Source organism: Homo sapiens, chromosome 3 (genome assembly GCF_000001405.40).
Source record: "Homo sapiens chromosome 3, GRCh38.p14 Primary Assembly".
Classification (NCBI taxonomy): domain Eukaryota; kingdom Metazoa; phylum Chordata; class Mammalia; order Primates; family Hominidae; genus Homo; species Homo sapiens.
In genome coordinates, this window is record NC_000003.12 from 46361864 (window position 1) to 46376367 (window position 14504).

Here is a 14504-nt window from a genome sequence, read left to right on the forward strand (position 1 = left end):
ATTCTGGGGACATTTGAGTAGGCTGTTCGAGTTAAGCAGGTGGAAGATGATGATCCCTCATCATCATTCTGAGGGATGAGTGTCTGAAGACTTTTTGGTAAGGAAGGGTCTTGGCATAGCCCACCCCATGCCACCTCCCTTGATCTGTGATATCCCCAGCAGCTGGGGAGGTTGGAGCATTTTGCAAAGAGGCCCCGAAGCCTCCAGAAAGTAAACCTTCAAGAGCCCATCCTTCCTTCCTCTTTTGTTTTTGCTCATTATGAAAACTTCCCTGACAAATTGAAAAGGCTTCAGGTGAGATTAGCCCACAGGAAAAACCACCAAGGGCCACCCAGAGGGGCCACACTGTGACAGAAGGAGTATGGGCTGGTGAGCTGACCTCTGGAAGACAGTGCATGAATTGAGGAGAAGAGATTGGTTCCAGGCATGGGAGGAATGAGGCTGGAAATTTCTTCAGACATTGCCACTTCGGCACTCTGTGTGTGTGTGTGTGTGTGTGTGTGTGTGTGTGTGTGTGTGTGTGTAAACAGAGTCCTGTAATGCAAGGTCCGGCCTTGGCAGCCCCAGCCTGGAGCCACAGTGAGATGTGAGCCGAGGGTTATGCTGGGAAAAACCTCTCCCTCCCAGCACCTGAAAGGCTCTGCAGGCCCAGCAGCTCAGCAAGCAAGGGTAAGGGCATGGACTAACATCTTATTTCATACTATCCCTTATAACACATCCTAATGTAATCAGCTCACAATATGAAATTATTTCATTTCTCTCCAGTCATTGTTTCAATGGGGCCTTAGGGTTGACTGGATTCTGGAGGGCCCTGCCTAGAGGAGGGGGTGCATTCTGTCCCTATGTCCCCTCCTGCTCCATCCTCCACAGCACGTGCCTAGTGGTCTACCTTGTGGGGAATTCTTGTACCTCCCTCTTCTAGGCATGGACTAGCATTGAGAAGTGGGAGAGGAGTGTTAGGAAAAAGGGCAAATATAGACATACCTTGTCTTATTGTGCTTTACAGATATTGTTTTTGTTGTTGTTGTTGTTGTTTACAAATTGAAGGTTTGTGGCAACCCTGCCTCGAGCAAGTCTATTGGTGCTGTTTTTCCAACAGCATGTGCTTGTTTTACATCTCTGTGTCACATTTTGGTAATTCTCCCAATATTTCAAACTTTGTCATTATTTCTATATCTGTTATGGTAATCTGTGATCAGTGATCTTTGATGTCACTATTGTAGTTGTTTTGGGGCACCATGAAGTGCACCCATGTAAGATGGCAAACAATCAATAAATGTTGTGTGTGTTCTGACTGCTCCATGGACTGCCTGTTCCTGAGACACAATAATGTATATATAACAATTATATATATATATATTTATAACAATTATATATATATATATATATATTTTTTTTTTGAGGCAGAGTCGCACTCTGATTGCCCAGGCTGGAGTGCAATGATGTGATTTCAGCTCACTGCAACCTCTGCCTCCCCAGGCTCAGGTGATTCTCCCACTTCAGCCTCCCAAGCTGGGACTACAGGTGTGCACCATCACACCCGGCTAATTTTTTTTTTGTATTTTTAGGAGAGACAGGGTTTTGCCATGTTGCCCAGGCTGGCCTTAAACTCCTAGACTCAAACAATCCACCTGCCTCAGCTTCCCAAAGGGCTGGGATTACAGGCATGAGCCACTGTGCCCAGCCCAAGACACAATAATATTGAAATTAAGCCAATTAATAACCCTACAATGGCCTCTAAGTGTTCAAGTGAAGGGAAAAGTCCCACGTCTCTCACTTTAAATCAAAATCTAGAAATGATTAAGCTTAGTAAGGAGGACATATTGAAAGTCAAGGCCAAAAGCTCACCTCTGCACCAGTTAGCCAAATTGCGACTTCACAGGAAAAGTTCTTGAAGGATATTTAAGCTCTACTCCAGGGAACATGCAAATGAAGAGAAAACAAAGCAGCCATATTGCTAATATGGAGAAAGTTTGAGTGGTCTGGAGAAAAGATCCAACCAGCCACAACATTTCCTTAAGTCAAAGCCTAATCCAGAGCAAGACTCTAACTCTCTTCAATGCTATGAAGGCGGAGAGAGGTGAGGAAGCTGCAGAAGAAAAGTTTGAAGCTAGCGGAGGTTGGTTTGTGAGGTTTAATGAAAGACAACATCTCCATAACATAAAAATGCAAGATGAAGCAGCAAGTGCAAAGGGAGAAGCTGTGGCAAGTTATCCAGAAAATCTAGATAAGATAATTGATGAAAGTGTCTACACGAAACAACAGATTTTCAGTGTAGACAAAACAGTCTTATGTTGGAAGAAGATGCCATCCAGGACTTTCACAGCTAGAGAGGAGATGTCAAGGCAAGCTGCAAAGCTCCACAGGACAGGCTGACTCTCTTTTTAGAGGTGAATGCAGCTGATGACTTTAAGTTGAAGTAAATGTTCATTTACTATTTTGTAAATCCTGGTGTCATTAAGAATTATGCGAAATCTACTCTATCTGTGCTCCATAAATGGAACAATAAAGCCTGGATGACAACACATCTGTTTACAGCATGGTTTACTGAATATTTCAAGCCCACTATTGAGAACTATTGCTCAGAAAAAAAGATTCCTTTCAAAATATTACTGCTCTGCACCATGTCGATCAAGAGCTGTGTTGGAGATGTACGAGAATATTCATGTTGTTTTCATCCCTGCTAACACAAACATCCATTCTGCAGTCCATGGACCAAGACTTTCAAGTCTTATTAAGAAATATATTTCATAAGGCTATTAAGAAATAGCTATATATATATATATAGCCTTATATAGTTTATATAGCTACCATTGATAGTGATTCCATTGATGGATCTGAGCAAAGCAAATTGAAAAGCTTCTGGAAAGTAGTCATTATTCTAGATGCCATTAGGAACATTTGTAATTCATGGGAGGAGGTCAAAATACCAACATTAACAGGAGTGTGAAAGACATTGATTCCAACCCCCATAGATGACTTTCAGGGGTTCACGTCTTCAGTGGAGGAAGTCGCTGTAGATGTGGTGGAAACAGCAAGAGAACTAGAACTAGAAGTGGAGCCTGAAGTTGTGACTGAATTGCCGCACTCTCATGATCAAACTTGAACAGATGAAGAGTTGCTTCTTACATATGAGCAGTGAAAGTGGTCTCTTGAGATGGAATCTCCTCCTGGTGAAGATGCTGTGAACACGGTTAAAATGACAACAATCGATTTAGAATATTACATAAATTTAGTTAATAAAGCAGTGGCAGGGTTTGAGAGGATTGACTCCAATTTTGAAAGAAGTGGGTAAAATGCTATCAAATAGCATCACATGGTATGGAGAAATCTTTTGTGAAGGGAAGAGTCGACCAAGGTGGCAAATTGCATTGTCATCTTATTTTAAGAAATTGCCACAGCCACCCCCAGCTTTAGCAACCACCACCCTGATCAGTAAGCAGCCATCAACATCAAAACAAGACCGCCATCCTCTTCAGCAAAAACACTATGACTTGCTGAAGGCTCAGATGATGGTTAGCATTTTTAGCAATACAATATTTTTAATTAAGGTATGCACATTGGTTTTTCTGACATAATACTATTGCATACTTAATAGACTACAGTATAGGATAAACACAACTTTTATATGCACTGGGAAACCAAAAAGGTTATTTTTGAGATATTTGCTTTACTGTGGTGGTCTGAAGCTGAACTCACAATCTCACCAAGGTGTGCCTGAACCTCTTTAGCTAACTGGCCACTGCCACAGTCCACTCTGTGTTGGTCAAGATGCCCCAGAGTGGCAGGCACACTGTGTGGTCACATCCAAGGGCCTAGATATGGTGGGGGCTCCAAATGGATCTAGATATGTGAGATCTCTCTTTGATTTGACTTCTTCCAACCCACCATTTTCTGGGTGCTGGGCTCATCTCACCCAGAAAGTAGGACCCAATGTGACAGTTCCTGCCCAGTTCCCTCCTGTGGTAGCCACTTGACCCAGGGGCACTCTTGATCCTTGCAGCCTCACTTACACACCCTATCTCTACCCCTATTAACTCTCTCCAATCCCCACTCCCCCTGCTCAGCTTGTCTGCTGCCCAGTGGGGGCCCCACCCATGCTGGCCTCTCCTTTTGCAAGTCCCCATTCCTCATATGGTTTCTTCAGAGCCCCTTTCTTTGGCTTTGAGGAGAGATGCCCTCACTCGCTTCCCCACCAATCCTGCCCACTTCTACAATCCATTCATTATCCTAATTGCCTCCGTATACAGACTGGAGTGAGAGGAGTTGATGTGATGGGTGTGGATACAGGGCTGGTGCTGTCATCTTCTAGTAAGCCCTGGGAGAGGTGTCTGAGCCCAGGTGTCAGTGGTTTTCTTTGGAACTGTGAGTGCATAACACTTCTTTGCCTTCAGCCTTAGGCCATAGTTGCTAGTTCTGGGACAACCAGAAAAGCCCTACATAATCTCGTGTTATGTGCAGAGCTGAGTATAGAGCTCCAGGTATGATCTGACTCACTTAAGATCACAGTGAGTCTATTGTATTGTTGAACTGTTAGCTTAGACATCTGTTACTGTACCTACATGGCACTAGCCTCACGCCTAGACACCGATCTGAAAGAAATCCCCTAAATGCATAGAGAAGACTTCTCAGCTGAGCTAAGGGGCTCCCACCAGGTTTGAGCCTATCTAATGAATCCATGAGGTAGACAGCCTGCACATGTCCACTTGGTTTGATGAATTGCACAAATCCCTATGGGGGATGTGGTTCATGGGCTGGGAAGTGGGTTACCCTGGGAAAGGTCTACAGGACAGAGGCAGGGATGGAGACAACAGCATGGTGAGTTCCCAACCCACCCACGATGATAGGTGTCTGAGGCAGAAGGTAAAGAGGCTGTCACCTGGTGGGTGTCATAAGACTCAAGTGTCATTGTTGAGGCACATGGGTAACAAAGCGTGGCACTGGATGGGGGTAGATTCTTCCTATTTCTGTGAGGATCAGGGGGACTCCCTGGCTCTCCTGCTAAAGGTGGCTCTAGGGACAGGAAGAGTGTACTTCTTGACAGGGATGTCAGAGCACTGATGGTGACAATCAGTGTGACACTGCTCACATGACTGAACAACCGAGAAGAGCCCGACTGTCTACTGAACAACGGGAAGAGCCCGACTGTCAATGACGGAGCTCTGTTAAATATAGTTAAGGCTATTTTGTTGAATGAATGAAGCCAGACAGGAAAGAGGACAGTATCTTTAATCCATTTATAGAAGTTAAAGACAGGCTTATTTAATCTCTATGAAGACAGAGTGGCCCTTACCTCTGGGTGGAGCAAAAGGCACCTTCTGAAGTGATAGGGATGTTCCTTATCATCTTGATCCGGAGTGGTAGTTACATGCATGTGTGCATATCAAAACTCACCAAGCTGTACCACTAAGTGTGTTCTTCCTCAATAAAAATAATAAAGAACTACACTTATAAAGAATTTTTTAATAATATAGGAAAATGTCTACACTATAATCTTTAGCTAAAAAAAAAAAAAAAAGAAGCCGCCTACAGAATGGTATATGCATGAGAACAATTAATCGAAAAGTGCATGGGAAAAGTCAGGATTGAAACATCATGTTTTAAAAGACATTGTTTTGATACTGTGAGAATGTACCTAAGTTTTTCCTTTTTTCTGTTTTTCCCAATTTTATACAATGAGCATGTGTTGGTTTTATAATTAGACATTTTGTTTGTTTGGTTTGGTTTTGAGACACAGCTTGCTGTCACCCAGGTTGGAGTGCAATGGCCCAATCTTGGTTCACTGCAACCTCCATCTCCTGGGTTCAAGAGATTCTCCCACTTCAGCCTCCTGAGTAGCTGGGACTATAGGGGCGCACCACCACATCCAGCTAATTTTGTGTATTTTTAGTAGAGATGGGGTTTCACCATGCTGGCCAGGTTGGTCTCAAACTCCTGACCTCAAGTTATCCACTCGCCTTGGCTTCCCAAAGTGCTGGGATTATAGGCATGAGCCACCGCACTTGGCCTAGACATTTGTTTTTAAAAATAAAAGATTCATTTGCTCTTTTTACAGCCCGTCTCACTGTTGACTGATATTGACCAGGAGTCAACTCAGGCCCCAGGGATTTTCACAACAGCTGCTGTATGGCAGGGTTTCTGCTCACTGTGCTCATGTAGTTGGCCCTTGCACCCAAAGTGAATAATTAACATTCTCCCCATCCTGTTGACGATGCTCTGAAAATATGGTCCAGAAATGGTGTGAGCAAGGAGACAGCAAAGCAATGCTTGGAACATAGGTGCAGTGACTAGACATGGGGCAGCTGTTTAAAGACAAAAAGGCCCCAAAAAGGAGGGATGGCACGAAACACCCTCCAATATGGGCATGGAGTCTAGAGTGACAAAGTGATCAAAAGTTCATTTCCTATGGGGTGTCCGAATGTACTTAATAATAAAAAGAGAACAAGAGCCATGCAAACTGAGAGGGACAAAGTAGAAAGAGTAGCAGACACCAAGCAACTAAGTCACAGCATGATAAGCTGCTAGCTTGTTGTCATTATTGTATCCAGAACAACATTTCATTTAAATGCTGAAGAATTTCCCATGGGTCCCCACTTTCTTGTGAATCCTTGGGCTGAACCCCCCTGTCCTGAGTGGTTACTAGAACACACCTCTGGACCAGAAACACAAAAGTGGAGTAACGCACACTGCAAAGCTGTGCTTCCTTGTTTCAGCCTGTGAATCCTCACCTTGTTTCCCATCTAGCCTATATTTTTCAAACTAACTTGGCCATAGAATCATGTAGTATTTAGGGTGGAAGCTGCCCCAGGTCTAGCACGTCATTTAACAGATGAGGAAATGGAAGCTTGGGCAGTGGAAGTATCTTGCCGAGGTCACACAGCAAGTCAGCAGCACAGCGTGTGTGACTCCGAGCCTGCTCCGCTAGCCCACATTGCCCTCTGGGGGTGAGTATGTCTTCACATCCTCCAATACCCTAATGACAGACAAACAGAACATGGCAAAGCCTCAGCTCTGCATGGTGAAAGTAAGAACCAGCAATTGCCACAAACAGAAATACAGTGTTGGTCCGGCAGCCTCCGGGGGTTCTGCACAAGTGGATTACCAGTGAATACAAGGCTATCTATCTTTCGAAAAACCAAAGTTGTATTTATGCTATCTATTTTCTATAAAATTTTATATTAATTTATTTGTTACCTATTTTTGAACTCTTTCAAAAGCACACTTTATATTTCCCTGCTTAAACAGTCCCCCGAGGGTGGGTGCCCAAAAGGCTCTACACTTGTTATCATTCCCTCTCCACCACAGGCATATTGAGTAAGTTTGTATTTGGGTTTTTTTAAAACCTCCACTCTACAGTTAAGAAAACTAAGGCACAGAGCTTCAATAATTTGGTCAGAGCCAAGTAGCAGTAATGAAGCTGGAGGTTAAACCCAGCAGCATGACTGCAGTTCTTAATCAATGCCTTTTGAATTGCACATATGGGATGAACTAGAACATTTTCTCGATGATTCGCTGTCCTTGTTATGATTATGTTACTGAGCTCTGTTGTAGCACAGACATATGTCCCTATATGGGGCGGGGGTGGGGGTGTCTTGATCGCTGGGCTATTTCTATACTGTTCTGGCTTTTCCCAAGCAGTCATTTCTTTCTATTCTCCAAGCACCAGCAATTAGCTTTACCTTTTCAGCTTCTAGTTTGCTGAAACTAATCTGCTATAGACAGAGACTCCGGTGAACCAATTTTATTAGGATTTGATCAAATAAACTCTCTCTGACAAAGGACTGCTGAAAGAGTAACTAAGAGTTTGATGTTTACTGAGTGCATAGTATGTGCTAGATGCTGGCCGTGGATGCCTCATAGAATCCTCCCAACAACTCATGAAATGACTACTGTCATTCAGCCCAATACCCAGACGAGAAAGCTGAGGGTAAGACAGGTTTCAAGCTTGGCAGTCTGACTACAGAGGCCACTGGCTTAGCCCCTGGGTTAGTCTGCCTCTGTAGGATTGGGGGCACGTAATTTTGCTGTTTGGGGTCTCATTTGCCTTCTTAGAGATCACAAGCCAAAGCTTTTTATTCTAGAGCCAAGGTCACGGAAGCCCAGAGGGCATCTTGTGGCTCGGGAGTAGCTCTCTGCTGTCTTCTCAGCTCTGCTGACAATACTTGAGATTTTCAGATGTCACCAACCGCCAAGAGAGCTTGATATGACTGTATATAGTATAGTCATAAAGAACCTGAACTTGACCATATACTTATGTCATGTGGAAAATTTCTCATAGCTTCAGATAGATTATATCTGGAGTGAAGAATCCTGCCACCTATGTATCTGGCATAGTGTGAGTCCTCATAAATGCTTACTGGTTTGAAGGGCAACAAAATAGTGAACAGAGTGAAAATCCCCACTAAGATCCTGGGTCCAGAAAAAGATGGGAAACCTGTTTAGCTCACCCGTGAGCCCATAGTTAAAACTCTTTAGACAACAGGTTGTTTCCGTTTACAGAGAACAATAATATTGGGTGGTGAGCATCTGTGTGGGGGTTGGGGTGGGATAGGGGATACGGGGAGAGTGGAGAAAAAGGGGACACAGGGTTAATGTGAAGTCCAGGATCCCCCTCTACATTTAAAGTTGGTTTAAGTTGGCTTTAATTAATAGCAACTCTTAAGATAATCAGAATTTTCTTAACCTTTTAGCCTTACTGTTGAAAAGCCCTGTGATCTTGTACAAATCATTTGCTTCTTGGATAGTAATTTCTTTTACTAAAATGTGGGCTTTTGACTAGATGAATGTAAATGTTCTTCTAGCTCTGATATCCTTTATTCTTTATATTTTCTAACAGATTCTGTGTAGTGGGATGAGCAGAGAACAAAAACAAAATAATCCAGTGAGAAAAGCCCGTAAATAAACCTTCAGACCAGAGATCTATTCTCTAGCTTATTTTAAGCTCAACTTAAAAAGAAGAACTGTTCTCTGATTCTTTTCGCCTTCAATACACTTAATGATTTAACTCCACCCTCCTTCAAAAGAAACAGCATTTCCTACTTTTATACTGTCTATATGATTGATTTGCACAGCTCATCTGGCCAGAAGAGCTGAGACATCCGTTCCCCTACAAGAAACTCTCCCCGGTAAGTAACCTCTCAGCTGCTTGGCCTGTTAGTTAGCTTCTGAGATGAGTAAAAGACTTTACAGGAAACCCATAGAAGACATTTGGCAAACACCAAGTGCTCATACAATTATCTTAAAATATAATCTTTAAGATAAGGAAAGGGTCACAGTTTGGAATGAGTTTCAGACGGTTATAACATCAAAGATACAAAACATGATTGTGAGTGAAAGACTTTAAAGGGAGCAATAGTATTTTAATAACTAACAATCCTTACCTCTCAAAAGAAAGATTTGCAGAGAGATGAGTCTTAGCTGAAATCTTGAAATCTTATCTTCTGCTAAGGAGAACTAAACCCTCTCCAGTGAGATGCCTTCTGAATATGTGCCCACAAGAAGTTGTGTCTAAGTCTGGTTCTCTTTTTTCTTTTTCCTCCAGACAAGAGGGAAGCCTAAAAATGGTCAAAATTAATATTAAATTACAAACGCCAAATAAAATTTTCCTCTAATATATCAGTTTCATGGCACAGTTAGTATATAATTCTTTATGGTTCAAAATTAAAAATGAGCTTTTCTAGGGGCTTCTCTCAGCTGCCTAGTCTAAGGTGCAGGGAGTTTGAGACTCACAGGGTTTAATAAGAGAAAATTCTCAGCTAGAGCAGCTGAACTTAAATAGACTAGGCAAGACAGCTGGTTATAAGACTAAACTACCCAGAATGCATGACATTCATCTGTGGTGGCAGACGAAACATTTTTTATTATATTATTTCTTGGGTATGTATGACAACTCTTAATTGTGGCAACTCAGAAACTACAAACACAAACTTCACAGAAAATGTGAGGATTTTACAATTGGCTGTTGTCATCTATGACCTTCCCTGGGACTTGGGCACCCGGCCATTTCACTCTGACTACATCATGTCACCAAACATCTGATGGTCTTGCCTTTTAATTCTCTTTTCGAGGACTGAGAGGGAGGGTAGCATGGTAGTTAAGAGTGCAGGCTTCCCGCATTCAAAATCGGTTGCTTACTAGCTGTGTGGCTTTGAGCAAGTTACTCACCCTCTCTGTGCTTCAAGGTCCTTGTCTGCAAAATGTGAAAAATATTTCCTGCCTCATAAGGTTGCCCTAAGGATTAAATGAATGAATGGGTATGATGCTTAGAACAGTGATTGGCATCCAGTATGTGCCCTCGAGGCCTCTTAATTATTACTGGCTTGCTCATAGTGCATGTTCTTTGTGGGCTAACTCTAGCGTCAATAAAAATGTTAAGACTGAGTTGCAGCCGGGCATGGTGGCTCATGCCTGTAATCCCAGCATTCTAGGAGGCTGAGGCAGGAGGATCGCTTGAGCCCAGGAGTTCGAGACCAGCCTGGGCAACATAGTGTGATCTTGTATCTATAAAAATAAACAAAATTAGCTTGGTGTGGTGGCGCCTGTAGTCCCCAGCCACTTGGAGGGGTGAGGTGAGAGGATTGCTTGAGCCCGGGATGGTCCAGGCTGCAGTGAGCCATGATCGTGCCACTGCACTCCAGCCTGGGCGACAGAGTGAGACCCTGTCTCACAACAACAACAACAACAACAAAAAGGCTGAGCTGCACCATGCTTGACCCAGTTTCTTAAAATTGTTGTCAAAGCTTCATTCACTCCATGGTGCTATAGAGCACAAGATTTTATTTGGTGAGATGGTGCTTTCATGAATTCCCCCAACAGAGCCAAGCTCTCCATCTAGTGGACAGGGAAGCTAGCAGCAAACCTTCCCTTCACTACAAAACTTCATTGCTTGGCCAAAAAGAGAGTTAATTCAATGTAGACATCTATGTAGGCAATTAAAAACCTATTGATGTATAAAACAGTTTGCATTCATGGAGGGCAACTAAATACATTCTAGGACTTTATAAAAGATCACTTTTTATTTATGCACAGGGTGGAACAAGATGGATTATCAAGTGTCAAGTCCAATCTATGACATCAATTATTATACATCGGAGCCCTGCCAAAAAATCAATGTGAAGCAAATCGCAGCCCGCCTCCTGCCTCCGCTCTACTCACTGGTGTTCATCTTTGGTTTTGTGGGCAACATGCTGGTCATCCTCATCCTGATAAACTGCAAAAGGCTGAAGAGCATGACTGACATCTACCTGCTCAACCTGGCCATCTCTGACCTGTTTTTCCTTCTTACTGTCCCCTTCTGGGCTCACTATGCTGCCGCCCAGTGGGACTTTGGAAATACAATGTGTCAACTCTTGACAGGGCTCTATTTTATAGGCTTCTTCTCTGGAATCTTCTTCATCATCCTCCTGACAATCGATAGGTACCTGGCTGTCGTCCATGCTGTGTTTGCTTTAAAAGCCAGGACGGTCACCTTTGGGGTGGTGACAAGTGTGATCACTTGGGTGGTGGCTGTGTTTGCGTCTCTCCCAGGAATCATCTTTACCAGATCTCAAAAAGAAGGTCTTCATTACACCTGCAGCTCTCATTTTCCATACAGTCAGTATCAATTCTGGAAGAATTTCCAGACATTAAAGATAGTCATCTTGGGGCTGGTCCTGCCGCTGCTTGTCATGGTCATCTGCTACTCGGGAATCCTAAAAACTCTGCTTCGGTGTCGAAATGAGAAGAAGAGGCACAGGGCTGTGAGGCTTATCTTCACCATCATGATTGTTTATTTTCTCTTCTGGGCTCCCTACAACATTGTCCTTCTCCTGAACACCTTCCAGGAATTCTTTGGCCTGAATAATTGCAGTAGCTCTAACAGGTTGGACCAAGCTATGCAGGTGACAGAGACTCTTGGGATGACGCACTGCTGCATCAACCCCATCATCTATGCCTTTGTCGGGGAGAAGTTCAGAAACTACCTCTTAGTCTTCTTCCAAAAGCACATTGCCAAACGCTTCTGCAAATGCTGTTCTATTTTCCAGCAAGAGGCTCCCGAGCGAGCAAGCTCAGTTTACACCCGATCCACTGGGGAGCAGGAAATATCTGTGGGCTTGTGACACGGACTCAAGTGGGCTGGTGACCCAGTCAGAGTTGTGCACATGGCTTAGTTTTCATACACAGCCTGGGCTGGGGGTGGGGTGGGAGAGGTCTTTTTTAAAAGGAAGTTACTGTTATAGAGGGTCTAAGATTCATCCATTTATTTGGCATCTGTTTAAAGTAGATTAGATCTTTTAAGCCCATCAATTATAGAAAGCCAAATCAAAATATGTTGATGAAAAATAGCAACCTTTTTATCTCCCCTTCACATGCATCAAGTTATTGACAAACTCTCCCTTCACTCCGAAAGTTCCTTATGTATATTTAAAAGAAAGCCTCAGAGAATTGCTGATTCTTGAGTTTAGTGATCTGAACAGAAATACCAAAATTATTTCAGAAATGTACAACTTTTTACCTAGTACAAGGCAACATATAGGTTGTAAATGTGTTTAAAACAGGTCTTTGTCTTGCTATGGGGAGAAAAGACATGAATATGATTAGTAAAGAAATGACACTTTTCATGTGTGATTTCCCCTCCAAGGTATGGTTAATAAGTTTCACTGACTTAGAACCAGGCGAGAGACTTGTGGCCTGGGAGAGCTGGGGAAGCTTCTTAAATGAGAAGGAATTTGAGTTGGATCATCTATTGCTGGCAAAGACAGAAGCCTCACTGCAAGCACTGCATGGGCAAGCTTGGCTGTAGAAGGAGACAGAGCTGGTTGGGAAGACATGGGGAGGAAGGACAAGGCTAGATCATGAAGAACCTTGACGGCATTGCTCCGTCTAAGTCATGAGCTGAGCAGGGAGATCCTGGTTGGTGTTGCAGAAGGTTTACTCTGTGGCCAAAGGAGGGTCAGGAAGGATGAGCATTTAGGGCAAGGAGACCACCAACAGCCCTCAGGTCAGGGTGAGGATGGCCTCTGCTAAGCTCAAGGCGTGAGGATGGGAAGGAGGGAGGTATTCGTAAGGATGGGAAGGAGGGAGGTATTCGTGCAGCATATGAGGATGCAGAGTCAGCAGAACTGGGGTGGATTTGGGTTGGAAGTGAGGGTCAGAGAGGAGTCAGAGAGAATCCCTAGTCTTCAAGCAGATTGGAGAAACCCTTGAAAAGACATCAAGCACAGAAGGAGGAGGAGGAGGTTTAGGTCAAGAAGAAGATGGATTGGTGTAAAAGGATGGGTCTGGTTTGCAGAGCTTGAACACAGTCTCACCCAGACTCCAGGCTGTCTTTCACTGAATGCTTCTGACTTCATAGATTTCCTTCCCATCCCAGCTGAAATACTGAGGGGTCTCCAGGAGGAGACTAGATTTATGAATACACGAGGTATGAGGTCTAGGAACATACTTCAGCTCACACATGAGATCTAGGTGAGGATTGATTACCTAGTAGTCATTTCATGGGTTGTTGGGAGGATTCTATGAGGCAACCACAGGCAGCATTTAGCACATACTACACATTCAATAAGCATCAAACTCTTAGTTACTCATTCAGGGATAGCACTGAGCAAAGCATTGAGCAAAGGGGTCCCATAGAGGTGAGGGAAGCCTGAAAAACTAAGATGCTGCCTGCCCAGTGCACACAAGTGTAGGTATCATTTTCTGCATTTAACCGTCAATAGGCAAAGGGGGGAAGGGACATATTCATTTGGAAATAAGCTGCCTTGAGCCTTAAAACCCACAAAAGTACAATTTACCAGCCTCCGTATTTCAGACTGAATGGGGGTGGGGGGGGCGCCTTAGGTACTTATTCCAGATGCCTTCTCCAGACAAACCAGAAGCAACAGAAAAAATCGTCTCTCCCTCCCTTTGAAATGAATATACCCCTTAGTGTTTGGGTATATTCATTTCAAAGGGAGAGAGAGAGGTTTTTTTCTGTTCTGTCTCATATGATTGTGCACATACTTGAGACTGTTTTGAATTTGGGGGATGGCTAAAACCATCATAGTACAGGTAAGGTGAGGGAATAGTAAGTGGTGAGAACTACTCAGGGAATGAAGGTGTCAGAATAATAAGAGGTGCTACTGACTTTCTCAGCCTCTGAATATGAACGGTGAGCATTGTGGCTGTCAGCAGGAAGCAACGAAGGGAAATGTCTTTCCTTTTGCTCTTAAGTTGTGGAGAGTGCAACAGTAGCATAGGACCCTACCCTCTGGGCCAAGTCAAAGACATTCTGACATCTTAGTATTTGCATATTCTTATGTATGTGAAAGTTACAAATTGCTTGAAAGAAAATATGCATCTAATAAAAAACACCTTCTAAAATAATTCATTATATTCTTGCTCTTTCAGTCAAGTGTACATTTAGAGAATAGCACATAAAACTGCCAGAGCATTTTATAAGCAGCTGTTTTCTTCCTTAGTGTGTGTGCATGTGTGTGTGATGTATACAAAGAGAGAGATAATTGTATTTTTGTATTTTCTTTTAA

General features: G+C 43.3%; 1 protein-coding gene and 1 long non-coding RNA gene across 5 annotated transcripts in view; one reads left to right on the plus strand and one right to left on the minus strand.

The window, feature by feature from the left end:
- The window catches only part of CCR5AS (CCR5 antisense RNA), a 43083-nt gene continuing 30699 nt past the window's right edge, over window positions 2121-14504 (minus strand). For both annotated transcript variants that reach the window (NR_185891.1, NR_125406.2), the window contains 2 exons: window positions 9381-9554; window positions 2121-3182 (listed from right to left, as the gene is read on the minus strand). This is a non-coding gene — a long non-coding RNA (CCR5 antisense RNA). The remainder of the gene's footprint in view (window positions 3183-9380; window positions 9555-14504) is intronic.
- CCR5 (C-C motif chemokine receptor 5) lies at window positions 8279-14343 on the plus strand. 3 transcript variants are annotated; one of them, NM_000579.4, is made up of 3 exons: window positions 8279-8335; window positions 8837-9125; window positions 11029-14343. In NM_000579.4, exon 3 carries the CDS (start codon window positions 11040-11042, stop codon window positions 12096-12098), a length of 1059 nt encoding a protein of 352 aa, NP_000570.1. In that variant the 5' UTR covers window positions 8279-8335; window positions 8837-9125; window positions 11029-11039; the 3' UTR covers window positions 12099-14343. The 3 variants fall into 3 exon arrangements, with proteins under 3 accessions (NP_000570.1, NP_001093638.1, NP_001381712.1); NM_001100168.2 differs by having other exon boundaries at window positions 9072-9125; NM_001394783.1 differs by lacking the exon at window positions 8279-8335 and having other exon boundaries at window positions 9083-9125.